The sequence below is a fragment of the Homo sapiens genome, chromosome 5 (assembly GCF_000001405.40).
Source record: "Homo sapiens chromosome 5, GRCh38.p14 Primary Assembly".
NCBI classification, from domain to species: Eukaryota; Metazoa; Chordata; class Mammalia; order Primates; family Hominidae; genus Homo; species Homo sapiens.
This window is the reverse complement of record NC_000005.10, coordinates 158,693,273-158,712,828: the sequence shown is the minus strand read 5'-3', so window position 1 is coordinate 158,712,828 and position 19,556 is coordinate 158,693,273. Positions and strand designations below refer to the sequence as shown.

The 19,556-nt window shown below is 42.3% G+C and overlaps 1 protein-coding gene across 25 annotated transcripts in view, besides 2 other annotated features; it reads left to right on the top strand.

The window, feature by feature from the left end:
• The window catches only part of EBF1 (EBF transcription factor 1), a 403,997-nt gene extending 387,088 nt beyond the window's left edge, over positions 1-16,909 (top strand). For 12 of the 25 annotated variants that reach the window (NM_182708.3, NM_001324108.2, NM_001324107.2 and 9 more), the window contains 3 exons: positions 496-675; positions 4,656-4,850; positions 13,687-16,909. In NM_182708.3, the coding sequence (NP_874367.1) occupies positions 496-675; positions 4,656-4,850; positions 13,687-13,718 (407 nt within the window). In that variant the 3' untranslated portion in view covers positions 13,719-16,909. Of the gene's footprint in view, positions 1-495; positions 676-4,655; positions 4,851-5,192; positions 5,262-13,686 lie in introns of those variants that run through there. The other 13 variants (XM_017009194.2, XM_024454390.2, XM_047416888.1 and 10 more) reach the window with 4 other exon arrangements.
• Positions 92-592: an enhancer, noted in NCBI's record as "H3K4me1 hESC enhancer chr5:158139245-158139745 (GRCh37/hg19 assembly coordinates)". NCBI's record gives its function as "activates a minimal SCP1, AML or CMV promoter by ChIP-STARR-seq in primed H9 embryonic stem cells {active_cell/tissue: H9 hESC(primed)}" and the evidence as "EXISTENCE:reporter gene assay evidence [ECO:0000049][PMID:30033119]".
• Positions 14,404-15,058: an enhancer, noted in NCBI's record as "NANOG hESC enhancer chr5:158124779-158125433 (GRCh37/hg19 assembly coordinates)". NCBI's record gives its function as "activates a minimal SCP1, AML or CMV promoter by ChIP-STARR-seq in primed H9 embryonic stem cells {active_cell/tissue: H9 hESC(primed)}" and the evidence as "EXISTENCE:reporter gene assay evidence [ECO:0000049][PMID:30033119]".
• Positions 16,910-19,556: the final 2,647 nt, after the last annotated feature.

Sequence of the window (19,556 nt, the reverse complement as noted above, 5' to 3'; positions counted from 1 at the left end):
TACAATATTGGTCCTAGCTATCATTCGGGTAATCTAATATAGAGGGCTAGAAAGGATGCATGCATTTAGCCATCTCTCTACATTTGACTTTTCACCATAAACCATGAATGACAGATCACAGAGAGGGATGGAATTAAAGTTTTGAGGGCCCAAAGCACATCATTCTTGCCCAGGGAATAGGAACCTGTTAACTCCAGGGTACATCTCTTAGATCGGGATTTATTTCTGCTCTAAAATGATAATTTATAGGCCCAGCATTGCCATTTCTCACGGCCCTGCTAAGTATTTATGATCTCCTAAGAAATGTGTCTTTTGCTCGCTTCCCATTTTAATCACAGAGCTAGCACCACCAACCCACGCACATGAATCACCCAATCCCTTCCCTCTGGGTTGCGGCGACGGGGCCAGAAACAGAGACCTTCCTTTCCCCGAGTCTTCCAGGATTGCCACCATCTGAATGCCACCCTCACCTCCGGTTTTGCCCCCGCCCCTCAGGTTTCACCCGCAACTCAAGCAGCGTATCACCACACGGGTACGTGCCGAGCACCACTCCCCAGCAGACCAACTATAACTCCGTCACCACGAGCATGAACGGATACGGCTCTGCCGCAATGTCCAATTTGGGCGGCTCCCCCACCTTCCTCAACGGCTCAGCTGCCAACTCCCCCTATGCCAGTAAGTAGAGATGCATATCCTGCGTTCCTGCACGTTTCGCTAGAAGAACTTGGCATCATGCCATGTGGCCCAGTGGGCAGGGCTTCTCGGTCTGAGGCCCCCCATCTTTCCCTCCTGTAAGGCACTCCCCTGGGTGATGGTGCTAAAGGCACCATCGTCTCCAGCAGGAATCTCCGCTCTCCAGTGCTCACCTTCCTTCCTACAAAGTCTCCCTAACAGTCAGAATGTTGCTACCATCCAAAGCAGCTGTATGAAGTCGCTTCAGGAACCCATGCTCTGAGTTAGATGAAGACGGGTTGACTCCTGCTTCTCCCAGTTACTAACTCCCACTTCTACCAGTTACCACCAGCTACTCAGGAAACTGAGGCAGGAGGTTTGCTTGAGCCCAGGAGTTCAAGGTTACAGTGAGCCATGATTGTGCCACTGCACTCCAGTGCCTGGGTGACAGAGCAAGACTCCGTCTCAAAGAAAAAAAAAAAGCAAACAAAAAAACCCCCATAAACAATGAGGACACCATATTTGTCATCTACTTAATCCCAAAACATCTATTAGTTTCGTCTTGTTTCACCTGATTATTTTAGCTACATAAAAGGAATCAAGTTCATTTCCTCTCCAAGCCTCAATTTTCTCATCTGTAAAATTGGGAAGGAACTAGCACCCACCCCATCCAGTGTTGTGAGACATAGAGAAGATAGCGCATACAGTGAGCTTGTCCTGATGCCGGACACATGGATAGAGGCACATTTAGTAAATCTAATAATCATAGTGATGCAAAGATAATAACGTGGTGGTGGTGGTATAACATAGTAACAATAGTCTAAAACCTAACTTCTCTCCCTTCATAATTATTCATAAAGCACTCATGTTGAAAAATTCCAATGGAATAAAAAAAAATAAGACATTCCTCTGGTGAACACACATATGACTCCTTTATTTTTTAATGCTTGGATTTTTCCCCTTTGTTTGTGTTTGGTGTATATTTAAAACAACAACAAATCAAAACACTTTTCCAGAAATCTGGCAAGATTAAAAAAAAGGAAAAGAAAACCATATACACATAAAAAAACGTTCTTTGGTGCCTTGTCTCTGCCTTAAAGAAGTTTGCCTACAAAAACATTTTGGTACATTTATATTGCTTCTAAAGAACCTCAGAGAACTGGCCTCCTTATCTATAAAATGTCATAACCCGTGTTCTCACAATCTCTTGATCTCGCTCTGACTTTGAAGTTCATCTTGGACATTGCGAGTGACTCTTCTGATGTGTAAAATGTGGCCAAACTCTTAGATATTTGTGGAAGGATAGATAGGTGTACCATTAAATTAAAGAATATTCATGATTTCTTAAGGAGTCTTGGCTAAAAATACAGCAAATGATGCCCTGTCTCATAGTGAAAGTATGGATTGTTCTAGTTCTTTGAAAGAGGAAAGATCATTCTTGCCCTGTAAGAGAAGTTATTTCTGAAAATGTACTTACAGACTTTTACTTTCTGGGTGAATTTTTCTGCTCAAGGTCCACAAAATTACACATTTCATCTTAGTTTGGAATCAGCAGTTTGTTGAACATTTACAACTCCCCAAATAATCTGCATATATTATGTCTGTCTACTCACAAGTCAATGTTTAGGATCAGTTTCACATTAGATTTTGATTTATCAAAAGATTGTTTCTCATAGAGATCTATAATTTCAGTGTTCTCCCATTTATTCAGTCAGAAAATGTTTCGATCATGACCTGAAAATTAAAAGATGGCATTCTTAATTAAATCAATAAACTAATTGCTATATGGTAGCAATTCAATTTAGGGGCTTGGAATGCTCTCCTCCCCAAGCCTGTGCAGACACTCAGCCGCTTCAGCCTGAGATTGCATCTGTCAGACTGTGAAACTTTGAACATTTAATTTCCATTAATTGATTTTCTCAGTGCTCACAAACATAGTATTAAATTCTCAAATATGCTCTCAGATGGGACGGCTTTATCTGCACAAATGCAAATAAAACAATAAACACAAAGCCCAGTTGATTTGAATTTTTGCCTCCATAATATTTAATTATTCATAAAGCACTCATGTTGAAAAATTCCAATGGAATAAAAAAATAAGACATTCCACTGGTGAACACACTTTCTGGTGTGGTGGCTGATAACTAATAATGTTATAACAAATGGAGCTGCTTGACTATATTTTACCTCTACCTCTGTTAACTGGCCCCCCACCCCAAAACTCCCCACCTCTAAATACACATAATGATCACATTTGCCAATGAGATTAATTGCCTTCCTCAGTGAACCAGCAGGATTTCAAGTCTACGAATATTTAAAAATCAAACCTCCAGTGCAGGAGTTTTGCAATTTAAATGGGTGTTATTATTGAGCGTATTTTCACAGTTACAAATCCTAAGAGATGTATAAAAATGCTGGCCTCATTAAAAGAAAAAGTACAGTTTAGAAAATGTTTGTGAAAACTCTGAGGATGGTGGCTCTGCATTCTGCCCCATAAAGCACTCAGTGCGTGTGGATTGGGTAGTGCCTTGGACTGATTAGAAGGGGTCATTTTCCCCTGATGGCAATTGTTGCCTATGACCAATTGGATTCCCACTTTGCAAAGGATAAGGCCACCCAAACAGCTCCTTTGACTCTGGTGGGCTCATGGGAACGAGGCTTTTCCCCCTGGAGATCTGTTTCCTTTGCAGGGTAGCTTAGCAGAAAGAGCTCCAAATTTGGGCGTGATTCCTTGCTTCAGCGCATTCTAGCTATGGCCCTTGGGCTAGCTGCTACACTACTTTCTGAGTCCCAGCTTGCTTCACTTCCTCGGTTGTAAAAAAAAAAAAATATATGTGATAGGCCCCGACTTAAGGTTGCATTGCCCATGACAAGATGAAAAAGACGTGAAGATTCTTGTGAATGATAAAACAATATCTGATGTTTTATTAAGTTGTGTGAAAAAATAATAACATAGAAGAAATATCTAGGATACATACTTTCCTGCAGGAAATGGAGGAAATAGAAAGCGAGTGTATGAAAATATTAGTCTTGACTTAGCGTATGTGAAATCTCTGTCTCCTAAAGTAACCGAGAGATTATTAACCTGGAACAAAAGATGAGAGGCCAGGCCAAGAGGATCATGGTCGGTAGAGAATGTACGTCTACCGAGCTCTTTCATATCCCCAAGCTGCTAGGTTTTCTCTGAGTTGCCAGAGTTTTCCCATCATTGGTTATCTGCATCCCTACTACTACCAAACTGTGAGTATTTATGTAAGGCTCTGATCCTACTGCTTATTAATTCCCAAACATTCATGTATATCCCATGGCGGTTATAAAGAATTTGGAACTTGTAGAGTTCTGCATTTTTCACAAATGCTGCATGTGGCAGTCTGGTGGCCATCCTCTCAAGCTGGCTTCTTCCTGTTCCCCCTACCCCAGCCTCTTTCCTAGAACTTTAGTTTAGGCTCTACCTGGGATGCATCCCCTGATACCTCTTCTATGAAGTCTTCTCTGATTTCCCTTCCCTGCCTCCACTGAGATGGCTATGTTCACCTTTCTCACTGTTTTGTGCTACTCTATCCCTCATAAGAGGGTGTTGCACTTTTGTTTCCTGGCCTGGAATACTCTGAGGATGGTGGCTCTGTGTTCTGCCCCATAAAGGCACTCGGTGCATTTGGATTGGTTAGTGCCTTGGGCTGATGACCAGGGGTCATTTTCCCTTAATGACAATTGCTGCTGATGACCCTAGTGCCTAGCACACTGCCTGGCACACAGTGGCCCCACAATAAACACATAAAAGATCTCCAGTAATGAAAGGTAGCACGTGCTAAGTTCTGTATAGTGAAAGTGGATGAGAGCCTGCGAATTCAGGGAAGGTTTGTGCTGGAAGCATCGTCTGAGCAGGGCAGAGCAAGGTGGCTGGGTGAGGGATGGATCTGAGCTTCTTTGCTTCAGGATGCCATGAAAGGCACTGATTTCTCCTTTCTCATTGCCCCTCTCAGTAGTGCCATCCAGCCCCACCATGGCCTCCTCCACAAGCCTCCCCTCCAACTGCAGCAGCTCCTCGGGCATCTTCTCCTTCTCACCAGCCAACATGGTCTCAGCCGTGAAACAGAAGAGTGCTTTCGCACCAGTCGTCAGACCCCAGACCTCCCCACCTCCCACCTGCACCAGCACCAACGGGAACAGCCTGCAAGGTAAGCCCCAGGCCCCACCTGCCAATCCAGATTCAATGCCCTGACTTCACCCTCCCAGGGCCTGAAGCAGATGCATCACCATTGCTGAGGGTATCAGCCTTGGGCCCTGCCTGATTCTCTCTGCCCTCATCTCTTCTGTTCCTTTGTATTTGCTCTCCTCAACCCTGGCCCTTGGCCCTTGGCCATACTCATCTCTCCTCTGCTGGAGGTGCTCAAGAAGTCCTCTTTCCAACTTCAGCAATTCTGCTCAGGCCCGGGATTTGCTTGGGAATACTGTTTCTACTGACTAACAGCATCATTTCTCTTTTCTCCTCTTTCACTCCTTGTGGTCGCCATTATCAGATCAGTCTTTTGTGGACTCTAGCAAGTTCTCCAGTGCAGGGTCTCTCCCGGGACTGGCCTTCTCCTGAAGTAGGTCACTCAACCTTCCCTTCCTGTTGCCTGTGTCAGAGTGAACGTGTGTGGGGCTGATAACAGGGAGGGGGTGAGCCATAACTTGATCAGAGCCCTGAAGTTAGATCATCATAGACCAAAGGCCAAAGACTTCCTACTGGGATTAAGAAACCCCAGAACACCACTAGAGTATTCTGATTCATATTAAAATTGTTCAATCGCTTTCCCACCATTGCATTTGGAAAATAAAATAGTTGCTAAGAGTTGAGATGACCTTTTCATTAAGAATAAAAGGTTACCCACCTTTTAAAACTGAGCACACCATTTCTTACATTTTTCTTATGAGCTTAGCACTCTGTTGTGTGTCATATGTTGAGACCTGCACAACCTCATTCATTGCCCCCAGCAGGATTGTGTGGTAGGTACTCATATCTGCTATTTGACAGATGAGAAAACTAAAGGTTAGAGAGGTTATGAAATTGCCTGACTTTTAACAGCTGATACATGGCAGAAGCTGGCTTCAAATTCAGACTGAAACATTCATCTCCTAAATACTTTATTATTCAGAGGTGCTAAAAGAGACATAGCCAGGGTTCCTAAGGCAGCTGGTAGGGAGATAAGATTAGTAAACTAGTCAACCACCATTTATTGAGCACTGAACAGTGTACCTGGGGCTGTCCTATGCATGGAGCAGATTTTATACCATTTAATCCTCACATCTTCCTAAAGTATGAGGGCCATTATGGTCTTCATTGTGCAAATGATAAAATGGAAGCTTAAAGAGGGTAAATACCTGACCACAGACATAGTCGGTTAAACGGTGGAGATGAATGTAAGCCCCATCAGAGTCTGTGCCCTTAAGCCCAGCCATACAAAGTTTCCCACAGTGTCTTCCCTTGGTGGCTGGCATCTCACTGATGGAGGTCAGCCTGGAAGTCAGGGAGGGGTGAGGAAGGCAGTGCACATGTCTGGGATATCTCAGCCCTGTTTCTTATGTACAAGTACATGCATATTTCTACTTGTCTACACATACTGTGTGCTGGATGCTTTACACTGTGATGAGCATATAGTGATTCTCCTGAAGACCGTATGATGTCAGCACTAGTCCCATTATACAGATGGGAAACTTGAGGCTTAATTTGATCCAGGTCACATGGCTAATAAATAGTACAGCTAAACTGGAACACAAGCCATGTGACCCCAGAGCCTGAGCACCCGATCACGTTGTCTTTCTGCCTCCAGGAGGACTCTTCAAAATACTCCTCAGAACCTTGCTTGCAAATCTGCCCAGCACAGCCCAGACTCAGCGCCCCACAGAGCACGCCGCTCTTCCCCACTCTAACATACAGTGGCAAATCCATCTTCTTAGAGGAAAGAGGAAAAAAAAAAAAAAAGCGTGCCTGTGCAACTGCATTTCAGGCAATATTACTCATGATAGAAAATGCCCACCTCCACAAAGTAGAGCCACCCATTCCTGCAAATCTCATTCTCTTTCAGCTAAAAATAATGCTTTGTCACCCTCAGTACACCTCCAGCTGGCAAACTAGGGATATAATGCTTGAGCGAATATAACTTATAATAGGTTTAAATAATGATCATACATATGGAAAGCAGAAATTTACCATTCTTGAGCTGCCAATCTCAGCCCTTGCTAAACATAGATTTGACATCAGAAACAAGATATGATGGGGTTTATAATCAGCAGTTGACGGGAAGCACTGGAGAAGAAAAGGCCCCCACTATTGGAAGGTCAGTGGCTCTATCATAGGCCAACAGTGACAGAAGTGGGCAGCTCCCAGGAGGCCCGATGTCTTCTCATGCCCTGTGGTCCTAGGAAGGAGCAGGAAGTGGTTGGAAACAGGGGCTGGGCTCAGATCTTATGACTTCCTGGGTTTCAGGAGATCTGGTTATCAACTGAAAGCCAGGATCTGGATGAGGGTATGTGCCTGTTTAAGTCATGATGAAATGGCTTCAGGACAGGGATATATACAAAGTTTGTGCATTTGTCCTCCCAGGGATTTTCCAACTCAATTCTTACCCAATTACAGATCCCAAAAGTACAGAGACTGTCCCCATTTCTCTGAATAACTGCTGAGTCTGTGCCTCTCTGTCACCTTTCCTAACACAGGGCCACAGTGTGGGAGGTTTGAGGTCTGATTCAGGGACACACCTTGTGCTGGATTCACTGTTGTGGATGACACTGCCCTTTCCTTCTGATTGAACAAATGTCAAGGAGACTTTTTTGGATTTTCCCCTATCCCATGCCCTGACTATTGAGCATGATAAAACAACTATAAAAAGAATGGACTGGGCGTGGTGGTTCACACCTGTAGTCTCAGCACTTTGGGAGGCTGAGGCAGGTGGATCACCTGAGGTCAGGTCTTTGAGACCAGCCTGGCCAACATGGTGAAACCTCGTCTCTACTAAAAATACAAAAATTAGCCGGGCCTGGTGGTGCAGCCTGTAGTTCTAGCTACTAGGATGACTGAGGGAGGAGAATCACTTGAACCTGGGAGACAGGTTGCAGTGAGCTGAGATCGTGCCACTGCACTCCAGAGCAAGACTATTTCAAAAAGAAAGACAGAAAGAAAGAAAATGGTTTTTGGTTTGCTCGTACTGTCATATACCAAATATCCCTACTTTTGAGATGTCAGTGATGGACATACGGATGGAGAAATTAAAGTCAAATTAATGTAAACATCTCACTTTAAGCTCTTCTTTCTGCCCACTGCACCCCCAGGTGCTGTGCTGGCAGGTGGGGCCCACACTCTGGGACTTGCCTCTTTAGCCTCTGCACACAATCTCCAGCAGGGCAAAGAGGACCCAGCCTTAGGTGGGCACCAGTTTTTCAGGGCACTCTTGCTTGAGCCACAAAAGTTTTCCCTGAGAAAGGTGACATTCAGAGAATTACTTCATCTTTAACTTTCCAAACTATTTCTACCATAAAAAAAAAAAAGAAAAAAAGGATGAAGGCAGGTTATGGAATTGGTGTAAGGATCCCTGAAGTGTTCTATTCCACGTTTTTCCTTTTCAATGTTACAGTAGCACCTACTTCATTGGGACCCACCTAGTTCAGAATTGTGATCATTAAGACAGGTTAAGTGACTAGGAAGACTTGGTTAAGCAAATTGCCCATGTCAACAAGATTAGAGGTGCCACATTTAGGCCATTTAAGTGTTTTCAAGGCCTATTTACCTCCAACTACCACTCTGTTAACTGTGCATGGTTCTGTTTTTTAAAGCCGACTCCTAAAAGACCTCTTCCCCAGCAGCACTCCCTTAGTCTCCTCCGGTTACTACACGCATATTTATTCCCCAAGAACTAAGCACGGCCATGTCACATGGTGGTGATAATGGTGAACACAGCCACTGACTAGGAGGGCTTATTCCCAGCCTGGCTCCCAACCACCCTTAAGGTAGCTTGTCTGTTGTCCCTGTTATACAGATGCAGAAACTGAGACTGAAGCTAAGGTGGCTTGTCCCCATTTACACAACTAGCAAACAAGGAAGCCTGGGCTTTAAGCCCAGACAGATTGACTGGACTATGTTAAGCCCCTATGCTATATTACATTTCTATATTCAAGTCACTAGGTTAGGCACAAGAGGGCTACAAAATCCTGCCCTCAAAATCTTTCCCTGTATTAGGGGAGACATGACACCAAAGTAAATAAGGAAGATCTGTCTGGGAAAGGCTGGGCACCCAGCTGTGGAAGTACAGAGGAAGGAAAGATGAAGGAGAATTCAGAACAGGCTCAAGGAGGAACAAGTGGGATTCAGGGCCAGGGAGATGGGGGCAAGGGGCACTTTCAGCAGAAAGACTGAGGACAACCTTAGCCAAGAAGCAGAGACAGACATGTCCTGGATAACATGCGGTGACCAGTAGGATTCACAGATTCTATCATGATTCCAGCTGGCTTTGTCTCCCAGGTAGATAAAACGTTTGAAAAGTTACCATATATCTGAGGGTTTTTTTTTTTTTTTTTTGAAAAAGCAACTCTAGTCTCAACTTCTGGAGCCTCACAAAATGTCCTGTTAAAAAATAAAAATATGGTAGTCAAAAACATTTAGAATGTGGTGCTCCCTGGATCACTATCTTGGAGATCCACAATTAAAGTCTCTGGGGCATCCTGCAGTTAAATAAAAATGACTATTTCATTTAGTTTGGCAAACTTGTTTGCCTACAGAGTCCTTTTCTGCATGTTAAGAACACTTAATGTCATATGAAAAACTTTGGAAAATGCAACTATATTTTGGATTTAAAGAGAAAAATGCAGAGATACCTCTTTCTATTCTTATGCAGGTGAAGTAATTGATAAATCCTGGTCCCAGACTACCTAACTGTGTCTGTTTTCCAGAGCCAAAGACTTGAGTCACCAACTATGCTCAGTCTTTGTCCATGGAGATGTCCTCTCCTTTCTCCTGAAGCTTATGCTGCTTAGAGCTTGGGTTTCAGGCAATTTAGGCCTCAGAGGACTTCATTTATTCAAGACAGAGGCATCCCCAAGAAGGCTGTTACATGCCATTGGAACCCCCGCTGATGTAGTGATTCTAAACCTTAGCCATGTCCTGGACAGTCTACGCATGAAAAATTAAAAACAAAAAGGCCAGAGTAATTTCACAAAAGTAGTATCCATATACTGATGTTTTTTCTTTTCCACCTTGCTGAAGCTCAGGCTGGCTCTTCTCAACCCTAGATATCATGCAGCCCAGGACCAAATCCTATGGAATCGTCATTTTTTCCATGCACATATTCAGTCGGTGCAAGATTTACCCACTCACTTACCCCCCTGTTCCTGATTAGCTCATAATTCTTTTTTTTTTTTTTTTTTTTTTTTTTTTTTTTGAGAAGGAGTCTCCCTCTGTAGCCCAGGCTGGAGTGCAGTGGCGCGATCTCGGCTCACTGCAAGCTCTGCCTCCCAGGTTCATGCCATTCTCCTGCCTCAGCCTCCTGAGTGATTAGCTCATAATTCTTACACATGTGGTGGTTTGGGTACGACCACATTCCACCCTCTCACTCCAAACCCTCCCAGCTCTGCAGAACTTTGTTTTGTCTTTGTTTTTATCAAAAATATGGAAACGGTAATGAAAAATGCATTGCCTCTCAAAGCAATAGTTTTCTGAGCTTCTGTCAGAGAACATGATCATCCAGCTGCTGGGGAAAATGGCAGAGCCACCATGGTCTTGTGATGTCTTGGCACATGGTGCTGAGAGGGTGGTGTCCTCATGGGAATCTTTATGCACTCCACTTGGGCAAGTTAGCATGCCAATGGCATTGCTGGAACATTCCAAGCTCCAGACACCCATCCCTCTCACCCACATAATCTTCAGATTGCAGCACAGATATAAGAAAAACAACTCCTAAAACTCAAGATCTTCAGGCAGTTTTGCAGTGGAGTTTCTCTATTAAAAGGGCCTCTTTGGAGGTATCTAGGCTCAGAGGCCACAGGCAGGGATCTTTTCCCATAATTTACTCAACCGCAAGGGTTCTGCCCTTGGAGTTTAGGAAGTCATGATTGGGATTTAGAGAACAGTAATGCTTTGATATTACATGCAAAATTCTGGGTGTAGGCAACATGGGCCTTAGAATGTTCCAGAAATGCTGTGGCATGCTGTCTTGCCCAAGTAGGGTACATGAAGATTCCCCATGAGGATACTCAGCACTGTGTGCCAAGACATCACAACCTCTTTTGAAGAGAGGTTCCATAGCTCCCATTAGACTCTCAGAGAAGTCTGTCGGCTGATGAAGGCGAGGTAGGAAAGTAGGAGTGGGCCAAACCCACCCCCTAGACCCATATATTTGTTTTTAATTTCAATTTTGTGCTATCATGTATAAACTTGGCTATTTCTTTTTTTAAAAAAACAAAGTCTAAATCTCTAGCTTCTCTTGAAACATTTGAGAAGATCAGTGGCTGTGAGCAGGCATTCCTGCCCAGTGGCATTTGGTGGGAGCTGAGTCACTGCCCAGGCATGCCCTTGGCATCATCACCTCCATCCTCACTTACGCACCCAGGGGATTCACTCACTGCTGTTCGCAGCCTGGGCTCTTGGGATGCTGGAGTTTGCAGCCCCAATGGTCCAAAATAAAAAGCGCTGTTAACTATGAACTGGTACATCAGTTAGCTTTGCTTTAGAACTTTTAATGTGGCCCTAAGTGGAGGCTTAATCTAGTTGATCTAACACACTATTTGGGTACCAAAAGCCTGCTTAGATTTTTTTTTTTTTTTTAATTCTGGCCATTCAAATGGGATGTTTTCACAGACCAGCTAATAAATGTTGGCTGGACCCACCAACCAAATTAGCTTTTTCCTTTGCTTTGAATCATATTGATACTGCCTGAGTTGTGTGACTATACTATAGGGAACTGCTCTTTAATGCCAGGCACGCAGAATAGATTTTGGTGGAAAGCGAAAGTAGACTTGCACCTTTTGCCACAGGCTTAAAACTCCCGCTGTCTTTAATAAAGGTGCCTGGACCCACCTCCAGCCCAGATGAAAAGATCCTTGGGGAGGCAGAGCCATGCTGGGCTGTCACACAGCAAAGACTCCCCTGCGCCTCCTTGCCTTTGGAGTGATAGCATCTCGAATTCTCCAGTTAAGGCTTGGATTGAAATACTGAGCTCCTGGTTTCAGTCAAACCTAGGGCTCACTTGAATCTTAGGGGGACTGCATTTCCAACTGATCTCAAGTCTTTGGGGGTTTAAGTTGGTCTGCGTTTGGCAAAAGACAACTTCCTGTTTCTAAGAAAAAAAGGCTTATGAGGGCTTACAGAAAGGACTCCAGGAGCTTTTGGGCTGCAAAAAGGCTCTTGCAAAACAACATTTGGATGATTTACGTGTAAATGAATCAGAAACATGTGGATTGAATTTCCTTGTGAATACAGATGGGTTTAAAAATTAACGGAAAAAGTGTTTGGCAAAATACTTTTTGGGTTTCATTTTAATTGAATCTAAAATACCAGGGGTGGGGGTGGGGAAGCCGGAGGAACGTGGGGGTCTTGGGGCTAAGAGCCCAGGGTGGCCTCCCTGTGTCCACTTGCAGGATTTGTGGTACTGGGGTTCGCTTTTTTTTTTTTTTTTAAAGGCACATTCTTCCAGAATAGTAAACTAAGAGGGCCACTTCCTAGACACAGTCATCACTGACAAGAACACTAATTAATTTACGTTTAGATTTGCCATAAAAAGAAAGCAATGACTCTCTCTGCCTGACAAGACACTTAACCGTGATTGGGAGCCAAAGACGGCTGCCCCTTGCTTGTAATGTCAGCATCTCTCTCACTTTGACATGTTTCAAAGGTGCCACCCTGTTTTAATTTTCTTAGTTATCCTTTTATTCTTCCCAGCAATCACACAAAGTGTGCCACATGGGATGGTGCCTATTTGACATAAGAGCAAATACACCTCAGAAAAGTTAAGCAATTAACACAAGGTCACACAGCTAGTTTAGTAGCAGAAGTGATGGGTTAAAAATCCCAGCAGCTAACGTCTATCAGGTCCTCACTAGGAGCTGAACCCAGGCTAAGCACTTTGCATGTGTCATTTTATTCACCTCTCCAATAACCCTAAGTGTTGCTGTGATTCTAGCTACAGAAGCTGAGCTTCACAGCAGAAAAGCCAGAGGTGGGACTCAGGCCTATCTGATTCTGTGTTCTCTAAATACCACTATCTGCGACCTCCTAGCTTTGAATGCTTTCAACAATTTTTGGTTACCTCAAACAGGCTTCTTTTTTCCCAGGATCTCACTCCAGCTTCCCCAGGCTACAGTTTTCTAGGAAATATGGTCAGATCATTCCCGAAACGTTGAGTGAAGCCGTGATATGGAAGACATTCTGCAGTTTCATGCAAACCTGTCTTCTCCTCCCAGCTATGCTTTCTCCCAACTTTATGTTCCCAGTGAACAAGGCCTGCTGTAGCTGGCATTTCCTTCTCCCAGCTTAAGGACCTAAGCAAAGGCACTCAAGATTTCTGCTCTGTGGCTTAGTTTTTGTGCTAATACAGAGGATAGGGAATGCCAAGTTTTTTGTAGAAACTGCTTGCAGTTTGGATGGACCACTTCTTTATATTTTGGGTGTGAAGGGGAGGGAAAAAAGAGTGACAAAGTGAAAATTCTCACTATTTTGCAAGGTTCGAAGCTGCAACTTTCCCAGTGGTATTCAAACTATGCAACTTTCCAGTTATGCCTTAAAATTGAAATCAGATTTGGAGAGATGTTTAGGATATTTTGTTCTGTTAAAGACACATACCCATGCTGATTTATTATAATTTTTAATAAAGCACATGTATATTTTATAACGAAAATTCATTCCAGAGAAGATGAGAGCAAATTTGTGGCTAATAGTCGAACAACATAGTTGTGTGTGGGTGTTTTTTTTTTTTTAGTCTTCATTATTTTTCTCAGTGAGAAGTTTGAACGCAAAGAAACCATTGACTTCTGTCTTTTCTTTCATAGCGATATCTGGCATGATTGTTCCTCCTATGTGAAAGAATTGCCTTGAAGAATTGTATTAATGAAGAGGTTGGATTCTGCTACAGAGAGTAATCTGATACAAGTCCCAGAGTGGAACTTTTAACTCAGGCCTTTTTAAGAGGAATCACAATAACTGCAGATTTTTAAACAAACAAAATCACCGACCTTGCAAATACTGAAATTGGAAGAGGGATCTGCAAGTGCAGGGTGTTGGTTAAAGTTGTACCTCCCAAGTATTTGGGGGATATATTTATTCTGTATTGACAAAAGCAAATCCACTTTTTCTTTTTCTTTTTTTTTTTTAAGCTTAATTCTGCAATCATTTGTCTTTTATAAACCGTAAAGCTCTATACAAGGGACACTATAAATAAGACTCCATGTTTTAATTTATGATGTTTTTAAAGCTGTGTAAAGGAAGAATGAAGTGGTGATATTTACAAAAAAGTAAAAAAAAAAAAAAAGAAAAAAAGGAAAAAAAAAAAAGCTTGTATGGGACAGAATAGGAATGCCAGTTAGATTTTTTAGAAAAACTAAGGGTCGGCTTTTGCGCCTTAAAGCATATCAAATGGTAGTTAGCTCAGACAGTGCATTTTCAATATCTAACTTAACATGCCACCCCTTAGCAGTGCAAGCTTATTTATCTCTTTTGTATTGTTGTCTTAAGCAACTGTGTAAATAAATGCAGCCTGGAAAGTTAAAACGCGATGTAAGTGATCACATTTTTCCCTCTACTCGAAAATCCAGTGCCTCTAGACAGATTGTTAAAACTGCATATTTAAATCTGATCTCATTCTCTCCTTTTACTTAAGTCAGTTTCTTCTGAAGCCGATGGCCTCTCGAGAGCTTGGTGGCACACATACTGTGTGAGAATCTCCTTTGAGACTTCATGGAACAGGGTCCAGGCACAGAATTCCACACTCTGCCCTCCAGTTAACAAGCCAAAACCTCACGTACGCTCCCCCATTTGCAAGTTTAAAGTTTACTCGTCCTAAATGCAGACTTCATACCTATCTTCCAAAAGTTGATAAAAGCAACGTGGCAGGTATTTTCGATTTTCCCATTCCAGATACTGCCTCTATCAGTCGACCCTTACCATTTGTAACATAATAGATTGAAACAACAGGTTAAGTGCTTTGGAATTAAGAGTTAAAGGGAACCGGGGGTGGAGAAAGGAAAAGAAGGTTGAGACCTCCAAAACATAGTTTTCTGTTCTATGGGAATTTTTGCTCTCATTATCTGGGAAGTGTTCTTAAAAATAAGAATTAATAGCAAAGATGCAGCAAAGCTCTGAGGATGCATTTGCCTGATATTTTTTTCTTTGCTCTTGTGTTTTTGTATGTAGTTATAAATACTGTAGATTTTTTTTTTGTGATTTTTTGCCAAAGTTGTTGTTCTATTTATACATTTTAATGTCTTAAGACATTTTTTCAATATCACAAAAAGATTTTACTGCGTATTTTGCAAAGAAAAAAAGCTCACTACCTTTAGCTTGCACATACTTGCAAAGTTAATTAAAAGGCTTTTTGTTTTAAAGGGGATTTTGTAAAATATCCATATAAATAATGTATTTATCTTTCGAATTTGTACATTGCTTTTCCCTTCTTCCTCTTCCTTCCACCCCCAATTTATTTTATTGTGTATGTTTGCTACGTGAAAAGTGCGTATTTGTTTGGTCACCTACACTTGTATTAGCTGTTTCAATGTGATTTTTAAACATTTCATTTATAGTTATTTTTAGTATTGTTATAAACCATGCTTCAGTTTTTTTAATTTCCACCCAAAAGTCATTGTCTATTTTTGTATTATTTGTAAGTTAAGAAGTTTTTTCCAATATATGGCAAAAAAAAAAAAATAGTAGCATATTATTCTTGTAGTATTTAGTTCAGTAGATTTAAAAAAAAATGTATCCTTTGCTTTGGAAGCTTACAAAACAACCCTAATGCTGTTTTACTCTATTAATATGCATGGAATCTCTCCCTTTGGAGTGACGCATTTTGTGCATTAAATTCTAGGGAGAAACTTCATAGAAATCAATGAACATACTTTCTTTCTTAAGTCTGCTTGTATATTTCCTCTGTCTTTCACATAAATATAAACCAGCAGATTGGATGCCTTAACAATGCAAATCATATTCATTTCACTTGTACATTGTAACTGTGCACCAGAACTGTCAGTCATCACTAACATTCTAAGAAAAAAGAAAAAGAAAAAAAGAAAAAAAAAAAAACAAAGAAATCGAAAAGCACAAAAGAACTGTTTTGTTACCTTAAGACAATGTAACTTTTTCTAGTAGAGCAAGAAATCATTTACAACAATGCTGCAACTGTGCATGCCCCCATATGGATTTTGCAATGGTTTTCACTAGGCTGTCAAGAGTGCGATTTTTATGGGTTGGGGTGGGTGGGGGAGGGGAGTTGTGGGAGGGTAGGGGAGGGAGGAAAGCTGTTTTTCATGGTGAGAAATAATAATGATGACTAATAATAATAAAAAAAACTGGAAAATGTAAGCAAGGTGGACGCATTGCTTCTCGGTACTCAGAAAGGTTATCTGAATTTGCGTGGTAAGCGCTGGCCTGAAGATGTACACAAGTTAAAGCCATATTTTATCTGGTGAGCCCCTTAACTGTTTCTGAAGGAATGAACGGTCAGCCGGGAAGGTGTCCGGCTTAGACCTTGACAACAGACACTACCCATCTGTCAGCCATGTGCAGTGGTTAGAACTCTTCTTGAAAGTCCAAAGAGCCTTTAAAATGTGTATAATTTGTGTTTTGTTGCTTCTATTTCTATTGATTAGATGAAAAGACATTCTGGCCCTCTGATCCTCTTTCTTCTCCACAAAAGTTTTACAAATAAAAGATGTTCCCCTAAATACAGAATATGGCTTTAAGAAGAAAATGAAATGAAGAATTAAATTAAGATTTCAGTGTTGGGGGAAAAAATACAGCTTCTGGATGACTGGATTGCATAACATTGCCCTGGCCTCACATTGTACTAGGATGCAGCTTAAATGAAGTCATCTCTAAATCTACTAACCTTTCACCTTCTTATCAAAACTTTTTGAATAGACACACACTGTACAGTTCAATTGTTAGAGAACCTAACTACTGTAGAGATTGTTAAATTTTTTTTTTTTTTTTGCAAAAATTCAAGCTGTAAAAACTTTTCAACTTTCACAATATTTAATTAAAGTTACTTCCTGTCTGTGATGGCAGCTCCTAGTTGTGTATTCATTTCTCTATTTCAGATGAGCCAAAGTCCAACATAATGTAAAAGGTCTGTGTTTGCAATGACTCAGATCAGTCTTGATACCCAGTGAAAAGGAATTAGGGTAGTGCTGGGACACCCTCTTTCTTATGTAGGTCCTTGGGGATTTGCTAATCTGGGATGCAAATTGAACACGCGCAGCGTACTGCTGCCCTCTGCCGGCGGTAGCTGGATGTGCACATGCCCACACCGGTCCATATAGGAGCCAAGAGCCCCCAGCAACTTCAACAGCCAAGCCCTGAGATCCTCCTGCGTGATTGAACTGTGAATCCAGGAAGTGGCCATTCTAGAACCCCTATCCTTCGTGCTACAAATCTGAACCAAGCTTTTCACACACAGCTGCTAATTAATCCCAGCGAGCCTTCTGGTCAACTAATTATGTGCCCTGGCTCATTGATGAGGAGGCATGTGTGAACTGAGCCTTCTGTTATCAATATTTTTTAACCCCACATGAATAAGATACTTTTCCTGTTGGACAGGAGTGAAACATTCCACAAATACTAGATAGGTACCTACTCATGTAAAATTGTTTCACTTTAAATTCCATCATGATCATGAGTCTTTCTAAATGCACACTCAATGATTTTCCTACTTTTACAGTTATTGAACATGATGAGGTTAATGATACTTGTAAAATGCCTCAAAAACTCAGCAGATAGGCTGTAGGCCAACGGAAACTTGATGGCCAGAGGTGATAGGATGGCTGCAACACAGTCACATGTGGTGGGCACTGTTTCGGCTTTGGAATATAGCCCGATTTGAGTAATGAAAGAGAGTGATATATAAGTTAGAGAAGCTGCCATCCTTTTAAAGAAACTTGCTGAAAAGTGTGGCCATTCAATATATGTTTCTTTTGAATTCTGTGTTTGATATAGTTTCCTGTATTAGATGCAGAAGATAAAGATTGAACAAGAGGCCCCTTTTCTCAGGATGCACACCATCTCAGAAAAGACACACTTATATTCAAATTATGCTAGAATGGTCGGCCAGGCTGAGACAGGTGTGCCACAATGCTCCACAGAGCACAGCTGACGTCCACACCTCTGACACGCTGGCCCCTACAGTCTTTAAGGGCTACCTCTTGAAAGTGCTCATTCACTCGATCGTTCATTTATTCATTCATGCTTGTAAACTTTGCGCGTTTCCTATGCCTCTGGTGCTAGGCAAGACATGGTGATACATCGGTGGGCCATGGTGACATTATACCCACTTGGAGCTCATACTTGAGTGGGGCAAATGAACGTTAAGCAGCCACTCAAGTGCCTGTAACAAACGAATCATGGTAATGAAGAAAATGTCTACAATGCTCTGAAAGTACATTGCAGCAGGATCTGATTTAACCTGAAGTGCTGGGAAAGGCTCCAGAGAAAGTAACATTTGAGCTGAGGTATAAAAGCTCAGCAGGAGCTAACCAGGTGGGCCTGGCCCCTTAGGCAGAGGAAATGAGGGAGGTGTAAGAACACTGAGCTTTGGAGCACATAAGGTACATTTAGGAACAGAAAAACTATGTGAGTGGAGTGTGCAGATGTGCACAATGAGACTGTGGGGCTTGGGAGTTCAATTCAGAACATGTCCTGAGCACCTACCACGTGCCTGGTACTGTGCTAGCTGCCAGGTACACTAAGCAAATGGGCCATAGTTCCTGCCTGTAGGGCCTATGGCAAGGCTCATAAACTCACAGCCCCATATTTGTTCATAGGGGCTATGCTGGTTAAAAAATCGGGGTGGGCCAGGCACGGTGGCTCACGCCTGTAATCCCAGCACTTAGGGAGGCCGAGGAGGGTGGATCACGAGGTCAGGAGATTGAGACCATCTTGGCTAACATGGTGAAACCTTGTCTCTACTAAAAATACCAAAAAAAATTAGCTGGGCGTGGTGGTGGGCGCCTGTAGTCCCAGCTACTGGGGAGGCTGAGGCAGGAGAATGGCGTGAACCGGCAGGTGGAGCTTGCAGTGAGCCGAGATTGTGCCACTGCATTCCAGCCTGGGTGACAGAGCGAGACTCCATCTCAAGAAAAACAAAAAATGAGGGGGTAAACTAGGGATAAAAACAACCAGACAGGGAGTGGGAGGGCTGGGGCCACTGGCAAGTGCATGCTCTGTCCAAAGTGAGAATCCCACTTGCTCCAGGCAATTGCTCCCATGTGAGAATGTGGACCCAGTGTTGCCCATCTTTCATTTCTCAAGAATGCCAGATATGTTACTAGATTATTTAAAAATCTGGCATAAAATTTTCATTTTTAAAATGTCAGCAACTTATCTAAAAACAGTGTTTTAAAAACACTTTCTTGGCCAAACTAAGTCCAGAATCCCCTAGAGTGTCAGTTTGAGACTTCTGACCAAAAGATAAGTTACGAACGGTGATGTTCACACAGCCTGATTTGAAAGTCATAATGACATGTTCTCTCCATGGAGATCAAGGAAGACTGCAAAGAAGAGGATACTCCAGTGGTGTTCTATAGGATAAGAGTTCTCCAAACATATAAGGGAAAGTAGGTAATGGAAGGCACTGGTCAATGCCCTGGCAGCTGACTTTATGAGAAAAAACATTATTACCATAAATCCAAATAGGAATATGGAAAATTGGAAT